This window comes from Homo sapiens, chromosome 11 (genome assembly GCF_000001405.40).
Source record: "Homo sapiens chromosome 11, GRCh38.p14 Primary Assembly".
NCBI classification, from domain to species: domain Eukaryota; kingdom Metazoa; phylum Chordata; class Mammalia; order Primates; family Hominidae; genus Homo; species Homo sapiens.
In genome coordinates this window covers 119,776,450-119,797,886 of record NC_000011.10, presented here as the reverse complement: position 1 = coordinate 119,797,886, position 21,437 = coordinate 119,776,450, and the positions used below count along the sequence as shown (strand labels likewise).

Sequence of the window (21,437 nt, the reverse complement as noted above, 5' to 3'; positions counted from 1 at the left end):
ATGGCTGGGTGGCCAGAAACAAAGAGGGGAGTGGAGCTGTCCACCGGGCTGCCCAGGTATGCTTATGGCAGCCCATCCCAGGTCCAACCTGGCTGTCCGACTCCCAAGCTGTGTGTGTTTGGTCGGGGGAGGTTTATTTGTGTATTTTGGGTTTTTAGAAACTCTGCATCCTATGTCAGTGAGGTGCAATAAAAAGACAGGCGCATAGACGGGGCATGCATACAGGCTGGGGACGGCAGGAGTGATGAGGAAGGCAGGGCCTGTTCTGAAGGGTTCTGAGCTCTCAGCTAAGGGGTCTGGGGGCTGGCGCGGGCAGTGCTCAGGTCAGCCTGGCTGGTCCCAACCCCTCCATCTCAGGCTGACAGCCTCAGGATCAGGAGCTTGGGGGCTGATCTCTCGAGGTGCCTGCCCTGCTGAGTCCTCCTGCCACGTGTGTGACCTATTGCCCCCAGCTCCTCCCTCCTCTGCTTCCCCTCCACCTACTTAGAGCCTGATGTAAACGAAGCACCGGGAGTGCTTTGATTTCTTTTCTTTCCCACTTGAAGGCCTCCTCCCCCTCCTCACAAAAGCATGGCGTGTGTGTGCATGTGTGTGCCTGTGCACACGATGGCATGAGGCCCAGGAGCCCCCTTTTTCTCTGGGGCTGTGACGTCCCCATCAGGAGACAAGGGCTGCAGGCAGTGCAGAGAGGAGCATTTAAGGCTCTTGGCTCCCCGGCCTCTCTCTCGCTTTATTTACCACCCTTCCGAGGCACAGGGAGGATCTAAAGAGAGGATGGGGAATGGGATTTAATGCCAAAGCACTTCAGGTTCAGAGAGAGACAAGATTAGAAAAGGAGGGAGAAAGGAAAGGGGAGGGGAAGAGAGAAGAGAGGGGAGGATGAGGGCAGGGACAGAGAGGCAGGGATGAAGGCTGAGAAACAGAGGGAAAGGCAGCGACAGAGGTGGGGGAAGGCAGGCTGGTTCAGAGACAGGCAGGAGAGACACAAATACAGCACTGCCCAGGCCGAGCCCAACAGGAAGCTTGCAGATGGCCTCTATGGCCAAGCAGCCAGGCAGAGGGAGAGGACACAGGGAACCATTGGGTCTAGAGACCCAGGAGGAACAGGGCCATGGGGCTTCAAGCAATGAGTGAGTGTGTCTTGGCCTGAACTGGGGAGACAGATGTCCCCCAGCCTCTCTGGCATCACATTCCTCTTCCCTAGAGGGCCGAGTTCCAGCACATGGAGTGTAAATGGACGTGACAGGGCCCCTGCCCCTCTGGGCTCCTGTCTCCTTCCCAGCTGGTGTGCTGCGTGCCCCTGCTGGCCTCTGCAGCGCCTTCCTCCAAGGGGGTCAGCACGCCTGGCTCATCTTGGAGCCCTTCCAGCCCCACCCCACAACCCAGCCAGATCCACAGTCAGAGACTGGATGCCAGCATTAGAGCAAGGATGGGGTGTGGGGCCGGAAGTCCTCCTGCCCTGTCAGGCCCAGGAGCCCTGCCCCATCATAGGAAAGTGGCCAATGGCAGGTATAGATGAACCTTCCACCGAGTCTCCGTTCCAGCCTGACCACCATAGAGAAGAAGGTGCTGAGCCTACAGAGGTTTGTCTGAGGTCCCTGGAAACTGCCCAACTCAAGGTGCTGCTCCCCAATTACCACTGTGATCCCCAGTACCATGGGGGTACTCACTATTCCAGAGATGCCTTGGTGCCTCACTGCCCTGGTACCATCACCTGCTCATCTGATGGGGCCCAGAGGCCTGTATGAATTGGGACCATTGGGGGGTCCCAATGCTTCCCTCTCTCCCCTGCCTCCACTCCCCAGCATCTGCGCTGGCCAAGGGCAGCTAGACTTCCAGCGTTGATGTGTTACAGAATATGGATCATTATGACATCCCAAGGAAGGCCCCAGAGCAGAAGCTGGGAAGAAATAGATGGGCAGGCAGCCTCTCTGAGCCTCAGAGCTCATGAGGGGAGGAAGGGATTCTACATTCAGCCCCTCGCTGTCCTGTGACTCACTGTTCCGGAGGGGCCTGCCTCCCCCTCCTTCTCTGCATTTCTAGAATCCTATGCTCCATGAATTTTGCATCAGGTTCAGAGGTAGGAGGTATACTGCTGACACTGCCAAGCCTGCTTTCACTGTGCATGTGTGCATGTGTGCACGTGTGTGCATGCCATATATGTGCACACTAAACACCCCTGACCCTGCAGATGGTCTTGCACACTGACTCCAACACCCTGACTCACTTGCATCCATGGGCCTGTGCCTTCCTAATGCCCAATCACAATCTCGCCATGCCCATTGCAAAGTCAGGCACCCATCCTCACACCCTCACTGGTACACACGTGCACACCAGCCTGCGGTCACACTCAGATACCAGCCGCACACTCTCAGATCCGTCCGCAGCAGCCAAGGACTTTTCTGATGAGTTTCCTCATCTTACTCAGAGCAAATCCACATCTGGGCAGACACAGTCCCACACCCACGTTCCAACATACACCCCACCTGACCTGCCAAACACACTCAGACATTCCCAGCCTCACAGCCGGTGACTCACACCATCCAGCACTGAATGCGCGCGGCAATGCTCACGCTGCCTTTTCTCAATACTCATTTACATGCCCTTTAAAAAGCTATATGTTTTACTGCTTACAAAGCATTCTTATGCAGATTATCTTATTTATTCCTCTCAATAGCCCCAAGAAGTGGCATTTTGGTTATTATCATTTACTGTGAGGAAAGGAAAGCTCAGAGATGCCGGGGGCCCTTTCCAGGGTCCCATGGGTTGTATGAACCAAGGTGGGCAGGGATGCCTGTCTGTGTGGCTTCAAATATTCTGCTTATCCTCATAGCTGGTCACCGGCCTACACAGCATGTTTGTACCAACTGGAAAGAGGCATTCTCTTCAGGTCAACACAGCTCTGTGCCATGTGCCCTACTTGGCAACCAGAGCATGGGCTCAAGCTCAGACCTCACTCACCCCTTGGCTGTGCCCATGGGCACCTGCACCTGTACAGCACGCATAGCCGCTCTGCTCTTCCCAGGCACCTGCTGAGGGGTCCCTGCCCTCCTCAGCATCTCCATCTCTTTCCCTGTGCACTAGGCATGGCAGGGTCCTGCCCTAAACCACCTCTGAGACATAGCCCCTCACTTGACTTTGACCGAGAACCCCTGGCCCTGGACCCAAAATGCTTGGGAAGCCCCTCTTCCTGAGGCCTGGAAGGAAAGTCCCACAGGCAGCTCTAAGCCAGATGGAGAAACTTGGGGTGAGCTCTCTTGGGGGCCCCAGCCTCCCACACCCACCCGGCTCCCCGTTCCTCTTCCCTACACAGTGCCAATGTTGGAGCACGGAGGCCACCTGACCTCCCTTGCAGAGCCCCTCCACTTCCACTCCCTCCTTCTTTCCGGGAGCTTTCTGGGGCTCCGCATGCTGTTTGGTAAATAAATCGAGGGCAGCGGGAATAATATACCTGTCAAACGCAGCCGGCTTCCAATTTCTGCTGTCAGGCCCGCCCAGCCGTGCCACTCCAAACCCACTGACACGCTGCCACAAGCAATACATTTCCCGAGACCCCCAACGGCGGGGAGGGCTGGGCTCACCAGGGGATTCCCCACTAGTTGGTGTTGCTGCAGGGCAGACCCAAAGAAGAACTGCCCAATGGAAGAGCTGGTAGGAGAAGAGCTGTGGCAAGGCTGGGGGTGGGGGGCGGTTCTGGAAAAGCGGGTGAGTTTCTGGGCTGCCTTGGAGGGCAGTGGAGGCAGAGGCAGAGGAGTGGGTGAAATGACCCTCTGACCCTCTCTGCACAGGAGGGAGTCAGAGGTCATTGAACCCCATCACCATGGGAGTAGCTGCCCAATACTGGTCCTTCCTAATAAGTGGGCAATGCTGTTTTGAGGTAAAATCCTGGAAACTGAGGTCAGAAAGGAGCAGGGGTCACTAATTCCAGCCCTCTTCCCCCAGCTGAGCTGCGCTTTCATAGCCACAGGTGTTCGGGGCTTAGCCAATGTTAAAGACCTTCCAGGAACAGCTCCACCCAGCTCAGCACGAGGAGCTCTCTAGCCAGGGAGCCCTTGCTCCGGTCTGACCCTGACACTGTGGAGCTCAGATCATCTGCTCTGTGCTAACCTTGGGGCCACCAGAACAGGGCAGCACTGAGCCTTCCCTTTGCCGGCCCCCTGCCACCCCACACACTCACCCCACTCAGTGTCCCAGCCTTCTCATCCCTCAGGTGGAAAAGCCGCACCTTTCTCCTCGGCTCCCCACAGCCTCCAAGTCATGTCTATGAGCTCCCCAAGCCCTTGTGCTCCTAATTAACTGCTCAGCTGTGGGCCCGGTGGATGCAAGTGAGTCAGGGTGTGGGCCTCCCCACATGTCCTTAATGCCTCTGCGGGCTGGAAGAACCCTGGGAGCAGAACACACCCATTCCCATGGGGGTTCCAAGCAAGGCCTTTCACTGCCAGTTGCCCCACACCAGGTCAATTCAGGAAGGAGAGGCCCTTGGATTTGGAGCTGGAGGCTGGGGATAAGAAGCAGAGACGGCCCAGGCAGACATTCTTCCTGTAGCTTCTCTCTTTAAGAACCAGGGGCCTGGGACCTCCTAGCTAAGGGGTGACGTGGTGCACAGCATGGAATGCAGGGGGCCAGAACAAAGGTAGAGCCTCTTCTCTGGGAGAATTTTGTTGTTGATTCAAGGATGAGAGGACTTTCTCAGAGCAGTAGGGCCTGGCCCCCAAAAGCACAAGCCACTAAGCTGTGTCCCAGGCTCAACGCCCACTCCAAACCAGTGCCAAGCCATTTCCTCCATTTTCTTCAAGCACTGGCACACATCTGTACCCCTTGAAAATGCTCCCTCCAAATTTCAGCCCCTCCACATAGACAATTAGAGGTGGAAGGGAGCCAGGAGCTCCTCTCACCTGACTCCTCATTTTTACAGGGGGAGGAAACGGAGGCTGAAGAGGGTTCAAGGCCCAGAGAGGACCATGGTGAGTGATTTCCAGTAAACCAGGTATCTTTCTGAGCCTCAGTTTCCTTATCTGTAAAATGAGGAGAGAATCCCTGTCTATCATAGGGTCAATAAAAGATACACTTCATGAGAGCAAGGATTTTTTTCTTTTTTGCTACTGCTGTACTCCCAGGACCAAGCTTGACAGTAGGTATTTGTAATAGTAAGTCTGTCTCAGTGAATGAATGCAAAGCACTTAGTAGGTGCTTATTAAATGGGAGCCCCTGTTATTCAAAATCCTAGGGAGCTAGCAAGAAACCCTGGCCTCCTGACTCCTGCCCCACCCGCATGGCTTCTCCCCATCCCTGCACCGCAGCCCCAACCTTTTTTTTTTTTTTTTTTTTGAGATAGAGTCTCACTCTGTCACCCAGGCTGGAGTGCAGTGGCACAATCTTGGCTCACTGCAACGTCTGCCTCCTGGGTTCAAGTGATTCTCCCACCTCAGCCTTCCGAGTGGCTGGGATTACAGGCACACGCCACCACACCAGCTAATTTTTGTATTTTTGTAGAGACAGGGTTTCACCACGTTGGCCAGGCTGGTCTTGAACTCCTGACCTCGTGATTCGCCCACCTCGGCCTCTCAAAGTGCTGGGATTACAGGCATGAGCCACCACACCCCGCCAGCCCCAACCTTTCCTTAGGGAACTGGAAACAGGGCAGAAGTGAGGGAATCTCTCTATGAAGAAAGGGGTAGGCCTGAGCTCCCTTGTCACCACCCACTGAGGAGCCGACAGAGCAAGGGGGACCTAGCACATTTGTTTCCATGTCATGCAGAGGAACCAAAATAAACACAAACAAATTTGGCAACACAAGCTCAGGGTGGGCCAGCCCCACTCTGCCCTCCCTGCTGAGCCACTGCTGTTTGCTCATAGAGATGAAGCTGAGTAACTCTCAGCCACCCACTGAGCTGGGAAGCTAGCCCAGCCCAGCCTCCACACAGCCACAGGAGATGGGGGAGACAGGAGACTTGCAATCTTGCTCCTAGTCCTGGGGCCTCGGTGCCTTCCGAGGAAAAGCCTTCCTGGGCTGTGGCATGTGGGATTTAGTTCAGCTCCACGGGAGGCCTCCTGTCCCCTCGGTTTGCTGTACGCAGAGGTTATGGAGTATCAGTAGGAGGGGAGGGGGAGCAGGGACACGGGAGGCTGGTTAAAGGGCCCTCCTGCTTTGTGGCTGGGGTTGCATGAGCTGCCTTCTTGGGTCCAGGCTGCCTCTGGAGGTACAACCAAGCAAGGGGGGCCCCACACAACGCTCACTCAGTCCAGACCAGAGAAAGGGATGGAAAGGGCAGGGGGCCACCGTCCAGCTTCCATGTCAGCCACTTCTCGCATCCAGGGTCCCCACACCAAGATGCCCTCAAGCTATTTCCGTTTCTCTCTTTCTTTCTCTCTCTCACTCACTCACACTCACCCTCACACACAGTGAGCAGCAGGGTCCTCACAGCAGGAAGCTGGTTAAGGGTGCCCAGACAGTGAGTGGGGCAAGTGTCAGGGCAGTAGCCTGCACTCCTGGAGCTCCGTGCATCCCTCCTGCCCCAGCCGTCCTGCACCAGTGAGGGATGTGCAGACTCTCTGGCTGTCAGAGGACAGGAGGGTCTGGACAGGACCAGGCAGGGAGCCTCAACCACTGCAGCACCCCAAGGGAGGAACCTCCATTCAACTTGGAAGCACGCCTGTCCTCACCCCAGCCCCTGCCCACATGTGCACACACACAAGGCCCAGGAAGAGGAGGATCTGGATTAGCCAAACAAAAAGCCCAAGCTTGAAATGAAAGCCAGAAGGGCCCTGAGCTGGGCTTTGCTGGACGCGCTTTCTGTCGTGCACAAAAAGACTCTTAGCTGCAGCCCTGATCCTCACCAATTCCTGACGCCCTGCCTAAGCACTCCCTCCTCCCAGAAGCCTCCCCAGAATTTGTCCAGGCAGCCCTCTCTCCCTCCTCTTAAGGGGGCATAGCTGCAGTACCATATATGGTTGTAGAATTGGGTATTAACATTTTCTTTAGTATTCAAGTGAGATTTGCACACACACAATACACACATATGCAAACGCAAGAATAGATGCAGATATGCACTTATGCGTGTGTGTGTGTGTATGCAAGTGTGCACACCCCCCACCACATGCACACACGGTGCTGGGCCTCTGCCTTCATGTTCCAGCTTCAGTCTGATGCCATCATTCTGCTGTCCTGTCGGCATCTGTGTGATGGTACTAGCTTGTGGGGTGACCGAGTGTGGCCTCAGTCATTCCCTGGTGTCCCCACAGAAGCTCCTGGGACAGTGCACGGCTAACGACACTAGTCTGTGATCAGATGGACCTGGTTTGACTCTTGTCCCAAATGGTGTCAGGCAAGCCCCTCCCTGCCTCTGTGCCTGGGCTCCGGGTCGGCTTCCCTTGTAGTGTCACTGTAAGAATTAAACAAAAACATGGTACCCAGCAGGCGTTCTCTAACAGTATTTCCATTACTGTCCCTTCATAAAAGATTAGAGAGATGATGTAGATGAGGACAGATTTCAGCTCAGAAAGCAAGGAGCTTTTTCAAAGTGTCCAGTCTCTCCGGCAATGTCATCTTCTAATTCAGGGCAAGACAGGGGGAGCCCAGGCAAGCTCTGTCTTGCCGGGGCCGGGGACACACCCAGGATGGTGACAGCCCCCATGCTAGCTTGCTCTAGCTCCCACAGAGAGCCCCGCCTCCTGCACAGCTCCAACAGGCCCCCAGCTGCCTCAACCTCCCAAATGCATATCTATGGCCCGTGGGACATTTAGTGTGGCCACCAGGAATGAGTGTGAGGGGGCTGGAAGGATTTGTGGCTAGAAAGAGGGGACAAGCCCTGATGGCAAGTGTCAGTGTCAACACTGGGGTTGGAGTCATGCCAACCCCAGCCTGTGCACACACATATGCCATCAGCAAAAGCAAGGCTGGGCCAGGCCAACCTGAGACTCCCAGCCAGCCCAGGCCTCCCAGCTTCCTTAGCAGTCTTGCTGCACACACACAGCGCACACATGTTCGGCAAGACCAGAAGCCATGGAGTCTAGCACTACTGAGCTGGAGACTGTGGTGGGCCTTTGGGGGGTCTTTGCATACCCACAGATAGGAGGCCAAAGTGCCTGTGTGCACACACGCCCGTGTCCGCACATGCACCGTGAGCCTCTGGACAGGGAGGGGTCTGTCGCCTTTGTCACATTCATTCCAGAAGGATCCATGACCCCCAAAAGCTCAAAGTTGCCATCCTACTTTTCCATTCATGTTTCAGTTGAGGTAAGTAGAGGCCCAGAAAGGCCAACTCTCAGTCCAGTTCCCGGGGACAGACTTGGACCCTCAGCTAGGGATCCAGAGAGGACCAGAGAGGGGCCTGCCATGTGGACCCATGCACGCTGAGCTGCTGTCTGTCTCTGTCTCCCTTCCCGGGGTGACAGCTCACCCCCTCCTCTTCCTACCTGCCCCTCCACTCCTCCAGTACGGGCGAGGAGCCCCACCATCAGCCATCCTCCCACGACCTTCGTGAAGGACAGAGGAGAGGAGAGAAGTGCTCTTGGTAAGACCTCCACCCTGACAGCCGCCAGGCACCCAGAGCAGGGCCAAGAGGCGGGCAGGTGCGTGGGTGGTGGTGCCCCCTACACGCCAGCCTCGACAGCCCTCCCAGGCCTCCCTGCCTGCCTTCGAGTGTGATGAGTTTATCTCCATGGGACAGAGAGGTGCGTTTGACGGCAGAGATGGCTCAGGCTGAACTCCTCTGTAAGCGGGCTCCCCGGGGAAGGGATGAGAGAGATTGTATCACCTCTGTTTGTCAGTCAGTCAGGAAATGAGTCTTCCTGCAGGCCCTCCCAATGCCGCCATGTGCTCAGCCCAGCCGCCTCGACAACCAAAGGAGCTGTCAACATCCCACCGGCCCGGGGCACAGGACTCCTGGGGACATGAGGAGATGAGAAATAACTCACCCAACCAGCCCCCAAGAAAAAAGAAAAAAAAAAAGAAACCAAACAATCCTCGCCACTCTGCTTCCTTGTCCTGACGCTAGGGTAGATCTCTGAAGTTTGGGAAGAAGCAGCAGTTTGAGGGTAGAGAATACACCTGGGAGAGCAGGAACACATGGGGACCATTTCTGTGGGCACCCCAGGGGACCTCACCTCCAGGGCCCACGTCATCACCCCCGCCCATGTTGGCTCTCGCCCTGCAGGGTCTGCCTGCTCCTTCCCTGGGGACTGCCTGCTCTCTGCTCCACTCTGCCCAGGCAGCCAGCATCCGGGGAGGTCAGAGTCTCTCCACAGACTGGGGTCCAGGGTCCCTCTTCTGGATAAAGGAGACATGGCCAAGGAGTGGGGAGAGTCGGGGACCAAGGCCAGCACATGGGGCAGCCCACCTCATCTCCCTGGCTGTGTACCTAGACCTCCAAGACTCAGCTGCATGTTAGAGATTCAGGAGAGGAGGCTGAGGGGCCATCTGGGCCTCTTTGGATAGGGAAACCGGAATCAGATACAGGGGTGGCCAGACTTGGGGTCTGTGTCCCACTCAGAGGGGAGAGAAGGCCTTGCTAACGGGTCACCTGTGCAGCCAGTCATAAGTCATCGATGCGAAAGCCACAGAGGGCCCCTGGCTGCCACGTTCAGCAAAAGTGTCCGGAGGAGAAAGTATCTCCTCTGCCCTTTGTTCCCCCATCTCCCATCTCACCCCAAGCAGAGGCCCTGGCTCCTCCTCTCTATCTTCAGCCAACCCAGTGAGGATGGTGGGGAGCGCTCTATGTAGGGTGCTGACCAGAGGCCCAGGCAGCTTCCCCTGGGGCTGGGGCACTCCAGACCCCAGTAGGCCCCCACAACCTCCCAGCCCCCACCTATTTGCTGTGTGCTGTGATGTGAGATGTCAAATGTCTGTGAGTCTATTTCCTTATCTGTGAAATGGACCACCTGAAGTTAGGAGTTCAAGACCAGCCTGGCCAACATGGTGAAAACCCTGTCTCTACTGAAAAAAAAAAACAAAAACAAAAATTAGCTGGGCGTGGTGGCATGCGCCTGTAATCCCAGATACTTGGGAGGCTGGGACAGGAGAATTGCTTGAACCAGGGAGGTGGAGGTTTGCAGTGAGCCGAGATCTCGCCATTGCACTCCAGGCTGGGCAACAAAAGCAAAACTCCGTCTCAAAAAAAAAAAAAAAAATCTGTATATCCATCTGGCAGGGGGCAGGGAACAGGAATCAGGGATGAGCAGTTTACCTTTCCCACCACAGCTGAGCTCTGAATGCACAACGAGGGTCCCAGAGCAGAGACCAGCAGAGACTGGGGATTCAGCATGGGAGGCTGCTGGACCCAACAAGGACAAAGGAGCTGGCAGGGACTGGCAGGGGAGTGGTGGGGACGAGGACAGGCAGTGGTGGGGAGCCCTCTCCAAGGACAGAGGCCTGAGGTGCTCTCTTGTTGGTAGCTTGACCCCTACCCCAGTGGCTGGTGGGGGCTAGGGAGGGGCAGGGAGCCCTCTGCCCCTACTGTCATGCCCAGCACTGGGTCTGGCACACAGCAGCTGATGGCAGGCTGGGCACCCTTGACTGAGGCTGGGCAGGCTTTGAGCTGCTCGCTCACCCAGAAGGTGCTAATTGAGCTGATTAATTGAGCCAATTACCTTGGCCTCCCAGGAGGGCTGGGAGCGGGCCTGGCTCCTGGGGACCAGGTGCAATCCTACAGGATGGGCTGATGAGGGAGTCAGGCCCTCCATGGGTGGGCTGTGCTCTGCGCCTCCAGCCCTGCCCACCTGCACGAGCACAGGATGAAGGGTGGGCTGATGCCCACTCGAGCAAGGTGAGTGGGGCTCCTGGGCAAACCCAGGAGGGTCCGGCCAGAAGGGAGGTGGGGCTAGAGCAGGTGCGGGGACCCCAGGACAGGAAGGGGTGCTCCGGGCAAGTGACCGATTCTGTAGAGAAATGAATTACCCTTCCCTGCTGCACCTTCTGCTAATTTTGGAGTGTAAGTGAAAGAGAGAGCGAATGTGAAATGCAAATCATCAGGCCAAGCATTTGTGACATGCAGGAATGGTATGAATTACCTCTGCCTTTAGGCTCGGCCAATCTACATAGCACCCTGCAGGCACTGTGGCTGTTGTTGCCATTTTACAGATGAGAAAAATGAGGCTCAAGGGACTGCCACTGACTGAGGCCACACAGCTGACAAGGGAGGGGGTCAGATTCACACCCGAGTCCTCTAGGCTGCAAAAGCCTGAGGTGTGGCTGGGCTAGGGAGCCAGCAAGCATGGCAGCAGGAGGGAAGGCAAGGCCCATGTGCCTGTCGGCTGCCTGGGCTCAAGGAGTGCAAGGGCAGAGGCCTGGAAGCGTGTCTACCCACAAATGTGCGCTTGGCAGAATGTGAGTCCTTCCCTTGCAGCCCCTGGTCTCACCTGGGACCAGTCTCCAACCTTGAGCCCAGCGGAAGGCCAAGGATAGTCCCTAGACCAGAGGGAAGGAAGCTCCATGTCCCAGCAGTTCCTCTGTCTCCCTTTCTCCATCCACACCATCACTGGAGTCCACACCGACATCCTGGCTTGCCTGGACTCGTGTGATAATTTCTCACACGAGTGAATGGGAACACCTGTTCCCATTCAATTTTGTCTCCAGATGGAGGCCAGGGGGGTTTTCTTAAAAAAAAAAAAAGAAAGAAAGAAAAGAAAACACACACACATATCTAATCACACCCATTTTTGTCTTATTTTGTGTGTGCGTGTTCAAATGATAGGTCTGTTTATTTGAGTAATAGAAACTATCTTCATTTCAGAAGAGAAAAAGTGCCTTTTTAAAAAATTACTTTTATTGACATATACTTTACATAAAGTGTACCCATTTTAAGAGTATAGAAAATGAATTCTGACAAACATGTACACCTGTGTAACCACCAGCCCATCATAATATTTCCGTCACCTGAGAGAGTTCCCTTATATCCTTCCCCATCCCCCACCCCAGGAAACCACTGATTTCAAAGCCGCAAGTGCTAATGGATACCCACCTCTCTCTGGGACCATCTCCCAGAACTTATCTGCTGCAAACTGAGCTTTTAACTTCTCACAGACCAAATCTCCCCCTATAGTTTTTGTTTGTTTGTTTGTTTGAGACAGAGTCTGGCTCTGTCACCCAGGCTGGAGTGCAGTGGCGTAATCTCGGCTGCCTCAGCTTCCCGAGCAACTGGGATTACAGGCATGCACCACCATGCCTGCCTAATTTTTTTGCATTTTTAGTAGAAACGGGGTTTCACCATGTTGGCCAGGCTGGTCTCGAACTCCTGACCTTAGGTGATCCACCCACCTCAGCCTCCCAAAGTGCTGGGATTACAGGCATGAGCCACCCCACCCAGCCTCCTCCTGTAGTTCTAAACCACATCTAAACCAGGGCTTGGTTTATGGTTCCTGAGAGAATCTGAGCCAGTTTGCTGCTTGCTATGCAGACATCTTGCTCCTGCTCCCCCAGGACACACCCAAGATAAAGCATGTTCGGCTGGGTCTTGCCTCCAAGGAAACACTTAGGATGGTGAGGAGCTGCCAGACAGATGGAGGAAGCAGGGAGAGGAACTAAGGGGCCAGAGCCCAGGGCTATTCACGGGCCTCACCATTTCTCTGAATTCTTCAAGGAGTGGTCATTCATGTCAGGGCCCAGGTTAGGAAATGTGGCAATGGGTGCATGGGCTTCAAGCAAGTCAGTTCACCTCACTGAGCCCTGGTTTCCTAATCCAAAAGTGGGAGATGGAAATAATAGCACCTTGTCAGCAATAGCTTGTCAAGATTAAATAAGGCAATGCATGTGAAGCCCTGGTGCATAGCAAGTATTCACAAAATGCTAGATCAAATGATGACTAAACCTGCAATTCTGTAATCGTTTGTTTTTGATCCTCACATTTGTCAAGTGTTTTATAGTTTATGAAACACTTTTACATTTATTTTCTCATTTGATCCCACAGCAATCTTGTAAGTACACAGGACAAATACTATAGGCCCCATTTTACAGATGAGATAACAGAGGCCCAAAAGGGTAAAAGAAATTGTGCAATTTCTACGGGACCTCACGAGCAGCATAACTAAAGCTCTCTGACTTCTATCTGTATTTTTCCCCCACTGGACTTCCACTCTGCCATGTACACCCCTGCCTGCTGGGATCCATCGGGTTCAGCATGTAACCCAGCAGTCCAAGGAACCTCTGAGGCTTTGTGGAGGCTTTAAGAGCTGAGGCCCTTTTCTTTCAACTAAAGAAAAGGGTTTGGGGTGAACACGGCTGAAGGCCTTCAGATAACACATGTGCCTAGGAGATAGGGCTGAGGCTGCGGCTGGCATTAGGGTTAGGACAGAGAATTTTCCCTGCTTCGCAGGGCCAGAAAGGTGGAGGATGACACCCGCTGGAGGAGGAAGTGGTAACACGGCCCCCCTCTCAGCCTCCCAGGTCCTTATGAAACAGGTGGGTGGGCCCCAGCCACCATGGGCATTGATTTCCCCCTAGCAGAAAATGGAAAGTGAGTTAAAATCCTTCCTGCAAATTGCCAAACACCTGAGGAAAACAAACAAGTTTGGGATACATTCATTATCTATTGCTGTGTAACAAATTATCCCCAAACTTATTGGCTTAAACAAAGAAATGTTTATCATCTCAGTTTGTGTGAGTCACAGGCTGTGAGAGAATGTTGGCTGGGTGGTTCTGGCTCAAGTCCTCTCATGTGGCCACAGTCAAGAAGTTGGCCAAAGCTTCAGGCATCTGAAGGCAGAACCGGGGTTGGAAGATCCACCTCCCAGGTGGCTCACTTGCATGGTGCTGGGCAGGACGCCTCAGTTCCCCACCACGGGGAGGTTTCATAAAGAGGTTGTGTGAGTGTCTTCATAACAGGGCAGCTGCTTCCCACAGAGCCAGGAGAAAACCACAATACTTTTTATGACCTAGTCTCAGAAGTCACATGGCATAACTTCTGCCATATTCTATTTGTGAAAACTGAGCCTCAAAGTCCAGCCCACACTCAAGGGAGGAGAATTGGCTCCATCTTTTAAAGGGAACATCAAATAATTGCATACATATTTTAAATCACCGCAAAAGGATTAAACACCCTCAGATGGGTGAGCTCAGAACAGACCCAGGAGACAGCCTGCAGGTCAAGACCAGCATGTTAGAGGCCCTCCCAACAGCACCTGGGAGGGCTCTTCACCCCAGCTAGAGTCCCTGACTCCTGCCTTCATCATCACGCCACTTGTGCTACCCTGGATCAGGGGCCAAGTATCCCAGGAGGCTGCCTTCACTCGAGCCTGAGCATGGGGTTGGGGAGGAATTGGGGTACTGCACACTCCCAGCCACGGGGCCACCCTGCCTATAGCTCAGGGGGAGGAGGGCTCCATGTCTGCCCGGGTATGAGTTGCAGGAACATGTTGAGGTGTACCCTTGCCAATACTCTTGGGTCTGAAAAGGAAACTGCCTTCTGTGGTTTAAATGCTTGTCCCCTCCAAAACTCATGTTGGGATTTAATTTCCATGTAACAGTGTTAACAGCTGGGGCCTTTAAGAGGTCATTAGGCTGTGAGGGCCCCACCCTCACGGGAGGGCTTACTAAAAGGGCTTTCAGGCATAGGCTCCTTCTCTTGCCCTTCTGCCATGGGATGATGCAGAAAGAAGGCCCTCACCAGATGCCGGCCCCTCAATCCTGGACTTCCCAGCCTCCAGAGCTGTGAGAAGTACATTTCTGTTCGTTATAAACTGCCCAGTCTCAGGTATTCTCTTATAGCAGCACAAAAGAGAGTAAGATGCTGTCTTTCACTGGATCCTAGTGGGCCTGGGTGACACTAGAGCTGCAGAGGGGAGGCCTGCCTGCCTAGCCTCTCCTTCCAACAAATCCATCCCAAGGAGGCAGCCCCAGGGCCACCTGCCCCTGCCTGCTGGCTTCAGACAATTGGACCAATGGATACCTGCTCCAGCAGGAGACAGCCTCTTGGTGACCAACAGCCAATCAGATACTCTGTCTTAAGATCTTAGAACTAAGGGGCTCAGGGCTGGGGAGTCAGTCTGTGGCTAGGCCCGAAGCTGAGATCAGGCAGCCAGGGTAGACCGGGGGAGGCCCATGCAGCTATTTTAGGACCGTGTGTTGATGAGTAAGCAAAGAAAGCAGATCTGCAGAGCACGGCAGGAAAATGGAGCAGAGGGAGCAGCAGGGACGAGACCCAATGTGGCCTCGGAGAGGGAAAATAGCGAGGGAAGGCAGCTCACTGGGTTTGGGAGCCTCTCAGCTCCCCTGAGACCTGGATGTTTTTCTGGCTGTGGGTCCCACAAGGCACTCCCGCATCCTTCTGATAAATCCCCCAGGCCTTCAGCAAGCTTAAGAGGGCTTCTGCTGCTCTCTCCAGGCTGCCAGACCCTCCCCGCCTAAGACCTGAAGGAGGCAGAAGAGATGGCAGGAACCACGGCCTCTTCTCAACACCACCAGGGAGGACCTTCTGCTAAAAGTGCTACATTCATACACATACTCTTTACACCCAGCGAATCCAAAGAAATAAAATGTGGCACTTAACTGTCGTGCTGATGTTTTCTTCTGGTATCTCTGTTCCGTCTTACTCTCCCTGTGGCGGAAGCCCAGCAGCAGCAAGAAATAAAAGTTCTGACACCACGGCAGATAATTACCCTCCCCGTCCCTCGGGGCAGAGGTGAGCAGGAAAGACAACACGTTCACAGAAAGGGCAGCCCTCTATGGGCTGGTGTTTGCAGTGTCCGGGCAGCGATGCTAACAGCCAGTGGAAGGGGATGGGAGGCATCCGCGGCTCTTACTGCCTGCGTTTGCATCATCTGGTCTTAAAGTGGGGTGAATTCCTACAGGAGGAACCACACCCGCCATCAAATGCAAGTTCAGTGGAACAGACTTTTGGATCATTCATTGATTCCTTCCAGAAACATGCACGCAGCCCTGGAAACATGCATGGAGACACTGAACTGGTTACACACTTGAAACCAATGCAGTCCCTGTCCTCAGGAGCTCACAGTCCAGCAGGGGAGATGGGAAGTGGAGAGCCCTTACCAAAGGATACACAGAAAGGGGCTTTAGTAGCTCACGGGACAGACAAACCCTTAAGGAATGGGCAGGATTTCAGTGGGAGAGAAGGAGATTCTAGATAAGGGAATGAAGGAGGCAGGAGGCCATGGTGGAGGGTGGGGCTGGGAGATCCACTTCACAAGCACCTGGGAGGCCTTCGCTGTAGCTCTAGTTCTTTGACTCAGAAAATCCCCTTTCTAGCCCCCTCACGCCTGTAATCCCAGCACTTTGGGAGGCCAAGGGGGGGCAGATCACCTGATGTCAGGAGTTCGAGACTAGCCTGGCCAACATGGCAAAACCCCATCTCTACTAAAAATAAAAAAATTAGCTGGGTGTGGTGGCGCACGCCTGTAATCCCAGCTAATTGGGAGGCTGAGGTAGGAGAATCGCTTGAACCCAGGAGGCAGAGGTTGCAATGAGCCGAGATTGTGCCACTGCAATCTAGCCTGGGTGACAGAGTGAGACTCCAAAAAAAAAGAAAGAAAGAAAGGAAAATCCCCTTTCCCCTCTGGGCCTCACTTTCTCATATGTCAACAAGAGGGAGCTGCCTTGGCAGCTCTGGCATTCTAGGGTCCGTGCTCGCAGGTGGGGAGGGGAGGGCTGGGGAGTGGAGTGCTTACATAGTAGAATATTGTCCAGCGGCTTCCCAAACACCATGCCTGGGTCAGACGAGCAACTATCCCCAGACCAGGCAGCCCCATCTGGTAAGATTCACTCATCTCCCTTTCTGTGAACATGTTAATCCAACAAGGGGTGGATCCTGGGTCCCATTCCCTTGAAGCACCCCCATGCCCAGTGATGGCAAACCTGAGATACCTTGGCAAGGGCCTGGACACCCGCGGGGAGAACAGCTTGTTTCCAACCGGCCCAGGGAGGTCACTCAATGAGTTTTAAGGAACTCCAGCTGGGGTGACAGAGTGAGACCCTGTCAGAAAGAAAGAGAGAGAGAGACCCTGTAAGAAAGAAAGAAAAGAAAGAAAGAAAGAAAGAAAGAAAAGAAAGAAAGAAAAGAAAGAAGAAAAAGAGAAAAAGAAAAAGGAAAGAAAGAAAGGAAAGAAAGATGAAAGAAAAAGAAAGAGAAAAGAAAAAGAGAGAAAAAGAAAGGAAAGAAAAAGGAAAGAAAGATGAAAGAAAGAAAACAAAGAAAGAAAAAGAAAGGGAGGGAGGGAAGGAAGGAAGGAAAAAGGAAAGAGAGAGAAAAGAAATCAGACTAGAGCAATCTGTCAAGTTCAGATCATAGAGGGTCTTATATGCTGGGCCAAGGGGTTAGGTTTTGGACTGGAGCAGTGGCTGATGGGAGCTGGGCTTTAGAAAATCATCCTGACAGCAGCAGGTGACATGCACAGGTATGGGCAATTGGAGGGGCTCCTAGCAGCTAGGGGAAAGCTCAGCCAGAGGTCAGAGCCAGGCGGAGGCAGCAGGACTGGAAAGGAGGCAGTAGGTGGGAGGGATTATGCGGGAGGTGGAACCCTCAGATTTTGGCCACTGACCAGAAATGAGAAGTGAGGAGGAGGAAAAAGCTTGGAGGCCTGGAAAAGTTTCCAGCTTTCCCTCCCCAGCACAGACTCAGGAAACCACACACATGGAGTCTCAAAACACCATGAGACTGTGTCTACCCAACACAAAACACCTGGGAATCCCAACATTCAGAAAGGCCCCAGATGCCATGTCTCCAAATATCGGGATAGCCATTCTGCTTTTTATCTAGATGCTTGCAAAGGTCATGGGAGTAATGGAGCTTCCTTGCCCCCCAGCCCCTGCCTCCAGGGTCCCCCCATGCCACTCTGCAGGGAGGCAGCAAAGAGCTGATGTGCAGGCAAAGGGGAGACCAAGCCCCTGCTCTCATCAGAGGCTTCGCCGGTATTTTTAGTGCCGCAATCAAGAGCAGGGCCCGCCTCTGGATCGGCTCAGGCAGTCGGGGCCGGGCAGGACTGTTAAAAATGGAACGGCACATACTGCAATCAGTGGTGGCAGGCGAGGGGCACCCGGCAGGGCAGCAGCTGTGGCATCTGAAGCTCTTGGCCCTGGAGTCTGGAGGGGACTTGGGGGAGCAGCCTCTGCATAGCATGCTGGGCTTCCATAGCCCTGATGCCCTGGCACTGCTTCTACCCCTGCCCTTTACACTGCCAGAGTTCCCACCCCTTGCAATGCACACCCACCCTTTCCCCGCAGACCTCTCTGAGATAGTCAACTCCAGAGCTCGGGTGCCTCGGGTGAGAGGGGGAGGGAGCACAGGCCAGTGATGTCAGGATGGAGTGCGGCGGGGGCTGGATAGAGTGAGACCCCACTTCCCTGTTCTGGTGGGAAGCAGAGCTGCCCTGAGTGCCCCTGCCAGAACTATGTCCCTCCCGGGGCAGGAAGGCACAGTCAGCGTCCCAGGACACCAGCAAGCTTATCACGCTAAGACCCAGGAGGCCCGGGTTTTGAGCCATTTCTGCCACTCTGTGACAGCTCTGGGGCCTCAGGCAAGTCACTTTCCCTCTCTGGCCTCCATCATGTTATCTGTAAAATGACAAGGCTGAAGTGCAGCACAGACATGACCGATTCTCTGCGCCAACAGCAAGCTGAGTGCAGGGTGACAGATACTTCTGAGGCCTGCTCACAGCCCACCCCACCAGCCCACAACAGAGAACGTCCAGTGATGGGCAGAGCTTGGGCCTGCAAGGGGGTCTGCCCTCACTGCCCCCTTCCAGAGCAGGAGCCCCTGGACAATCTCCAGAGGAGGGACGGGATGGGATGGTTCTGTCTTCATCACCCAGCCCTTCCAGGAGCTGAGAGGGCTCTGTGGGGTGAAAAGAGGACAAGAAAATGGGTAGGGATCACTCCAGGACACTGAGTGACCACAGAGGAAGGGACTGGAAATGCCGAGCCTCATTTTACAAGCGCTGGAGCTACAGTAGAGCAGACAGGGCACAAGGTGACCCAGCCAGATCTGGGCCTGCTCGGAGGCACGCACAGGACTTCTGAAGGCAGGAGCCACATCAGCTTTTTTGATCCTACCCTTGGAACCTGGATCCTTCAAGTGCCCTTCCCACAGAGGCCTCAGGGTCCCAATTCACCCCAGTGGAGCCCTCAGCCTCCCAGGCAGGCTGCCTGCAGGAAGGAGGAGGCTGGTGGTGTTTATTGAATTTGTGTACCAGCATAAATCTGTGTCGACCTGCCTCAGAACGGTGCTCAGACGACAGATGTGCTATCTTGGGAAGCATGTGTCCCTGTCTGTCCCAGAACCTTTCTACTCCCCCGGCAAGACAGATTCAGGTGTGAATCTGCCCGGGCACCACCTGAGCACCTCATGTGAGGAGGCGCCTTGAGAGGTCATTCCTTTCATCCCCTGGCGTCACTCCCCTGGCCACAACCGTGCCAAGTCAGGGTCTTCTTAAGGACATGCCCTGCACAAATGTGCTCTGTATCTGGTGGGCCCTGCAGATGTTCAGCAGCTGGAAGTCTCCCTGCTGAGCATGACAAGCCCGCTATTGCCTTCCCCGCTGAGGTCAAGTTGAGCCTGTGATCCTGAAGCCAGTGGCAGAAGAAAACTCCAGTTCACCCTGCTTGTCTTCTGGCTACCCTACAGGCACCAGATCCTTCCACTTGGAAGGTAGGGAAGTCACTATATCGGTACCCACACCCAGGGTGTCCAGACTAGAGAATCCCAAGGCTGGCATGTGGAAGAGCCACATATGTCACCGTGGCGTGGGTGGGTGGTGCATCTCGTGTTTCCTCAGCACCTCTGAAGGCGGGATGAGAATCCGCTGTCTGACAGCCTCGGGCCCCACAGCCTGCTGAAGGCTGAGCTGCACACCTAGCACTGCAGATGGCTGGGCTAAGTGAGGGCTGGAGGAGCAGACAGGGGTACAACGGGCACGCTCAATGCTGCTCGGCCTGGGAGATCCAGCAATGTCCACCTCCTGGAAGCAGCAAGAGAAGAGCTGAGCTTTTTACCCCCACCATGCCTGGCCTGCCCTGTTGGGCAGTGATGAGCTTGGTCATGGTCCTCTGAATTTGGGGAGGCTCTCTGCCAAGGGCTCAAAGCCCCCCAAAAGCTGCTGGAGGATCAAGAGAGGAGCTGGTTGGGACTGAAGAGGGTAGACTTGTATCAGCCCAGAGTCGAGGCCCAGCAGCTGGGAACAGGGAAGGTGGCAAGCATGCAGGCCATGTCATCACCTGCCAGAAAGACCTCAAGGGAACAAGAACATTCCGAGGGCTGTCCCTCACTGGAACAAGATCTGTGAGTGATGTAAAGCTTTCTGGTAAAGGCAAAGGAAGTTTCCAGACCACCAGGACCAAAGAGAAGACCTGAAAAACCGGGTCTGTTCTCTCAGCACCACCCCAGCCCAGAGGCCTCTCTCTGTCTAAGACCATGGTGAGCACAGCAGGATAGCACAGTGGCCCACTGTCTGTAGACTCTCAGATGCTCCTGGGCATGAAGACCCCATCCGTATGGCCAACAGGAGGACCTGGACCCCAAAAAGACCTTGACAGGCTGGGGTAGCAGTTCACATGTCCCATAGTAGCAGAGAGTGGGAAAGGGACAATTCTATTCTTACAAAGTTAGGCTGCACCATGAAAAAGAATGAGATCATGTCTTTTGCGGGGACACGGATGGAGCTGGAGGCCATTATCCTTAGTAAACTAACACAGGAACAGAAAACCAAATACTGCATGTTCTTACTTATAAGTGAGAGCTAACTGATGAAAACTCATGGACACATAGAGGGGAACAAAATACACTAGGGTCTCCTTAAGGGTGGAGGATGTGAGGAGGGAGAGGAGCAGAAAAAAAGAACTATTGGGTACCAGGCTTAGTACCTGGGTGATGAAATAATCCATACAACAAACCCCCGTGTTGTTTACCTATACAACAAACCTTCACATTTGTTATAACCCCTGAACCTAAAACAAAGGTTAAAAAATAAAAATAAAGCAGGGAAAAAATGTTTGGCTGTACAGGTACAAGAAGGGGTGGAGCCCGTTTCTCTGCAACACGTGGAAAATAGACTCAAGTTTTGGTTGAAAGCCAGCTTGAGACACGGTAAGAACATGATGAGGTCACTATCATCTAAACATGAGAATCTTGGGTGGGGCTGCACTGATAAAATATTGGCCAGACTGAGTGAGGTCAAGGTCTTTTGCCTCTGAAGTTCCATGCTCAGTCCCGGCTCTCCCACCATAAAGGAGGCACTGACACCCCCAGCACCTCCGCAGGAGAACAATGAAAGCATGTGGGGGAAGGGGCTAAAGTCATGTCCTGTATTTAATTTTACAAACATGTGACGCTGTATCCTGAGCACTCTTTCAAGTCCCCAGCACAACTATTAACTCACTCTGCCCTTGTGAGGCAGGCACCATTATCAGCCCACTTTGGGGGATGAGAGGCTGAAGCACAGCAAGCTGAAATAACTTGCTCAAGGTCATCCTGCTAGGAAGTTGTGCAGTCAAGATTCCA

The 21,437-nt window shown here is 54.1% G+C and overlaps 4 annotated features.

Annotated features, from left to right (window-relative positions):
- Window positions 1,625-2,246: an enhancer, noted in NCBI's record as "H3K27ac-H3K4me1 hESC enhancer chr11:119666350-119666971 (GRCh37/hg19 assembly coordinates)". NCBI's record gives its function as "activates a minimal SCP1, AML or CMV promoter by ChIP-STARR-seq in naive H9 embryonic stem cells {active_cell/tissue: H9 hESC(naive)}" and the evidence as "EXISTENCE:reporter gene assay evidence [ECO:0000049][PMID:30033119]".
- Window positions 9,105-9,642: an enhancer, noted in NCBI's record as "H3K4me1 hESC enhancer chr11:119658954-119659491 (GRCh37/hg19 assembly coordinates)". NCBI's record gives its function as "activates a minimal SCP1, AML or CMV promoter by ChIP-STARR-seq in primed H9 embryonic stem cells {active_cell/tissue: H9 hESC(primed)}" and the evidence as "EXISTENCE:reporter gene assay evidence [ECO:0000049][PMID:30033119]".
- Window positions 10,060-10,882: an enhancer, noted in NCBI's record as "H3K4me1 hESC enhancer chr11:119657714-119658536 (GRCh37/hg19 assembly coordinates)". NCBI's record gives its function as "activates a minimal SCP1, AML or CMV promoter by ChIP-STARR-seq in primed H9 embryonic stem cells {active_cell/tissue: H9 hESC(primed)}" and the evidence as "EXISTENCE:reporter gene assay evidence [ECO:0000049][PMID:30033119]".
- Window positions 10,883-11,706: an enhancer, noted in NCBI's record as "H3K4me1 hESC enhancer chr11:119656890-119657713 (GRCh37/hg19 assembly coordinates)". NCBI's record gives its function as "activates a minimal SCP1, AML or CMV promoter by ChIP-STARR-seq in primed H9 embryonic stem cells {active_cell/tissue: H9 hESC(primed)}" and the evidence as "EXISTENCE:reporter gene assay evidence [ECO:0000049][PMID:30033119]".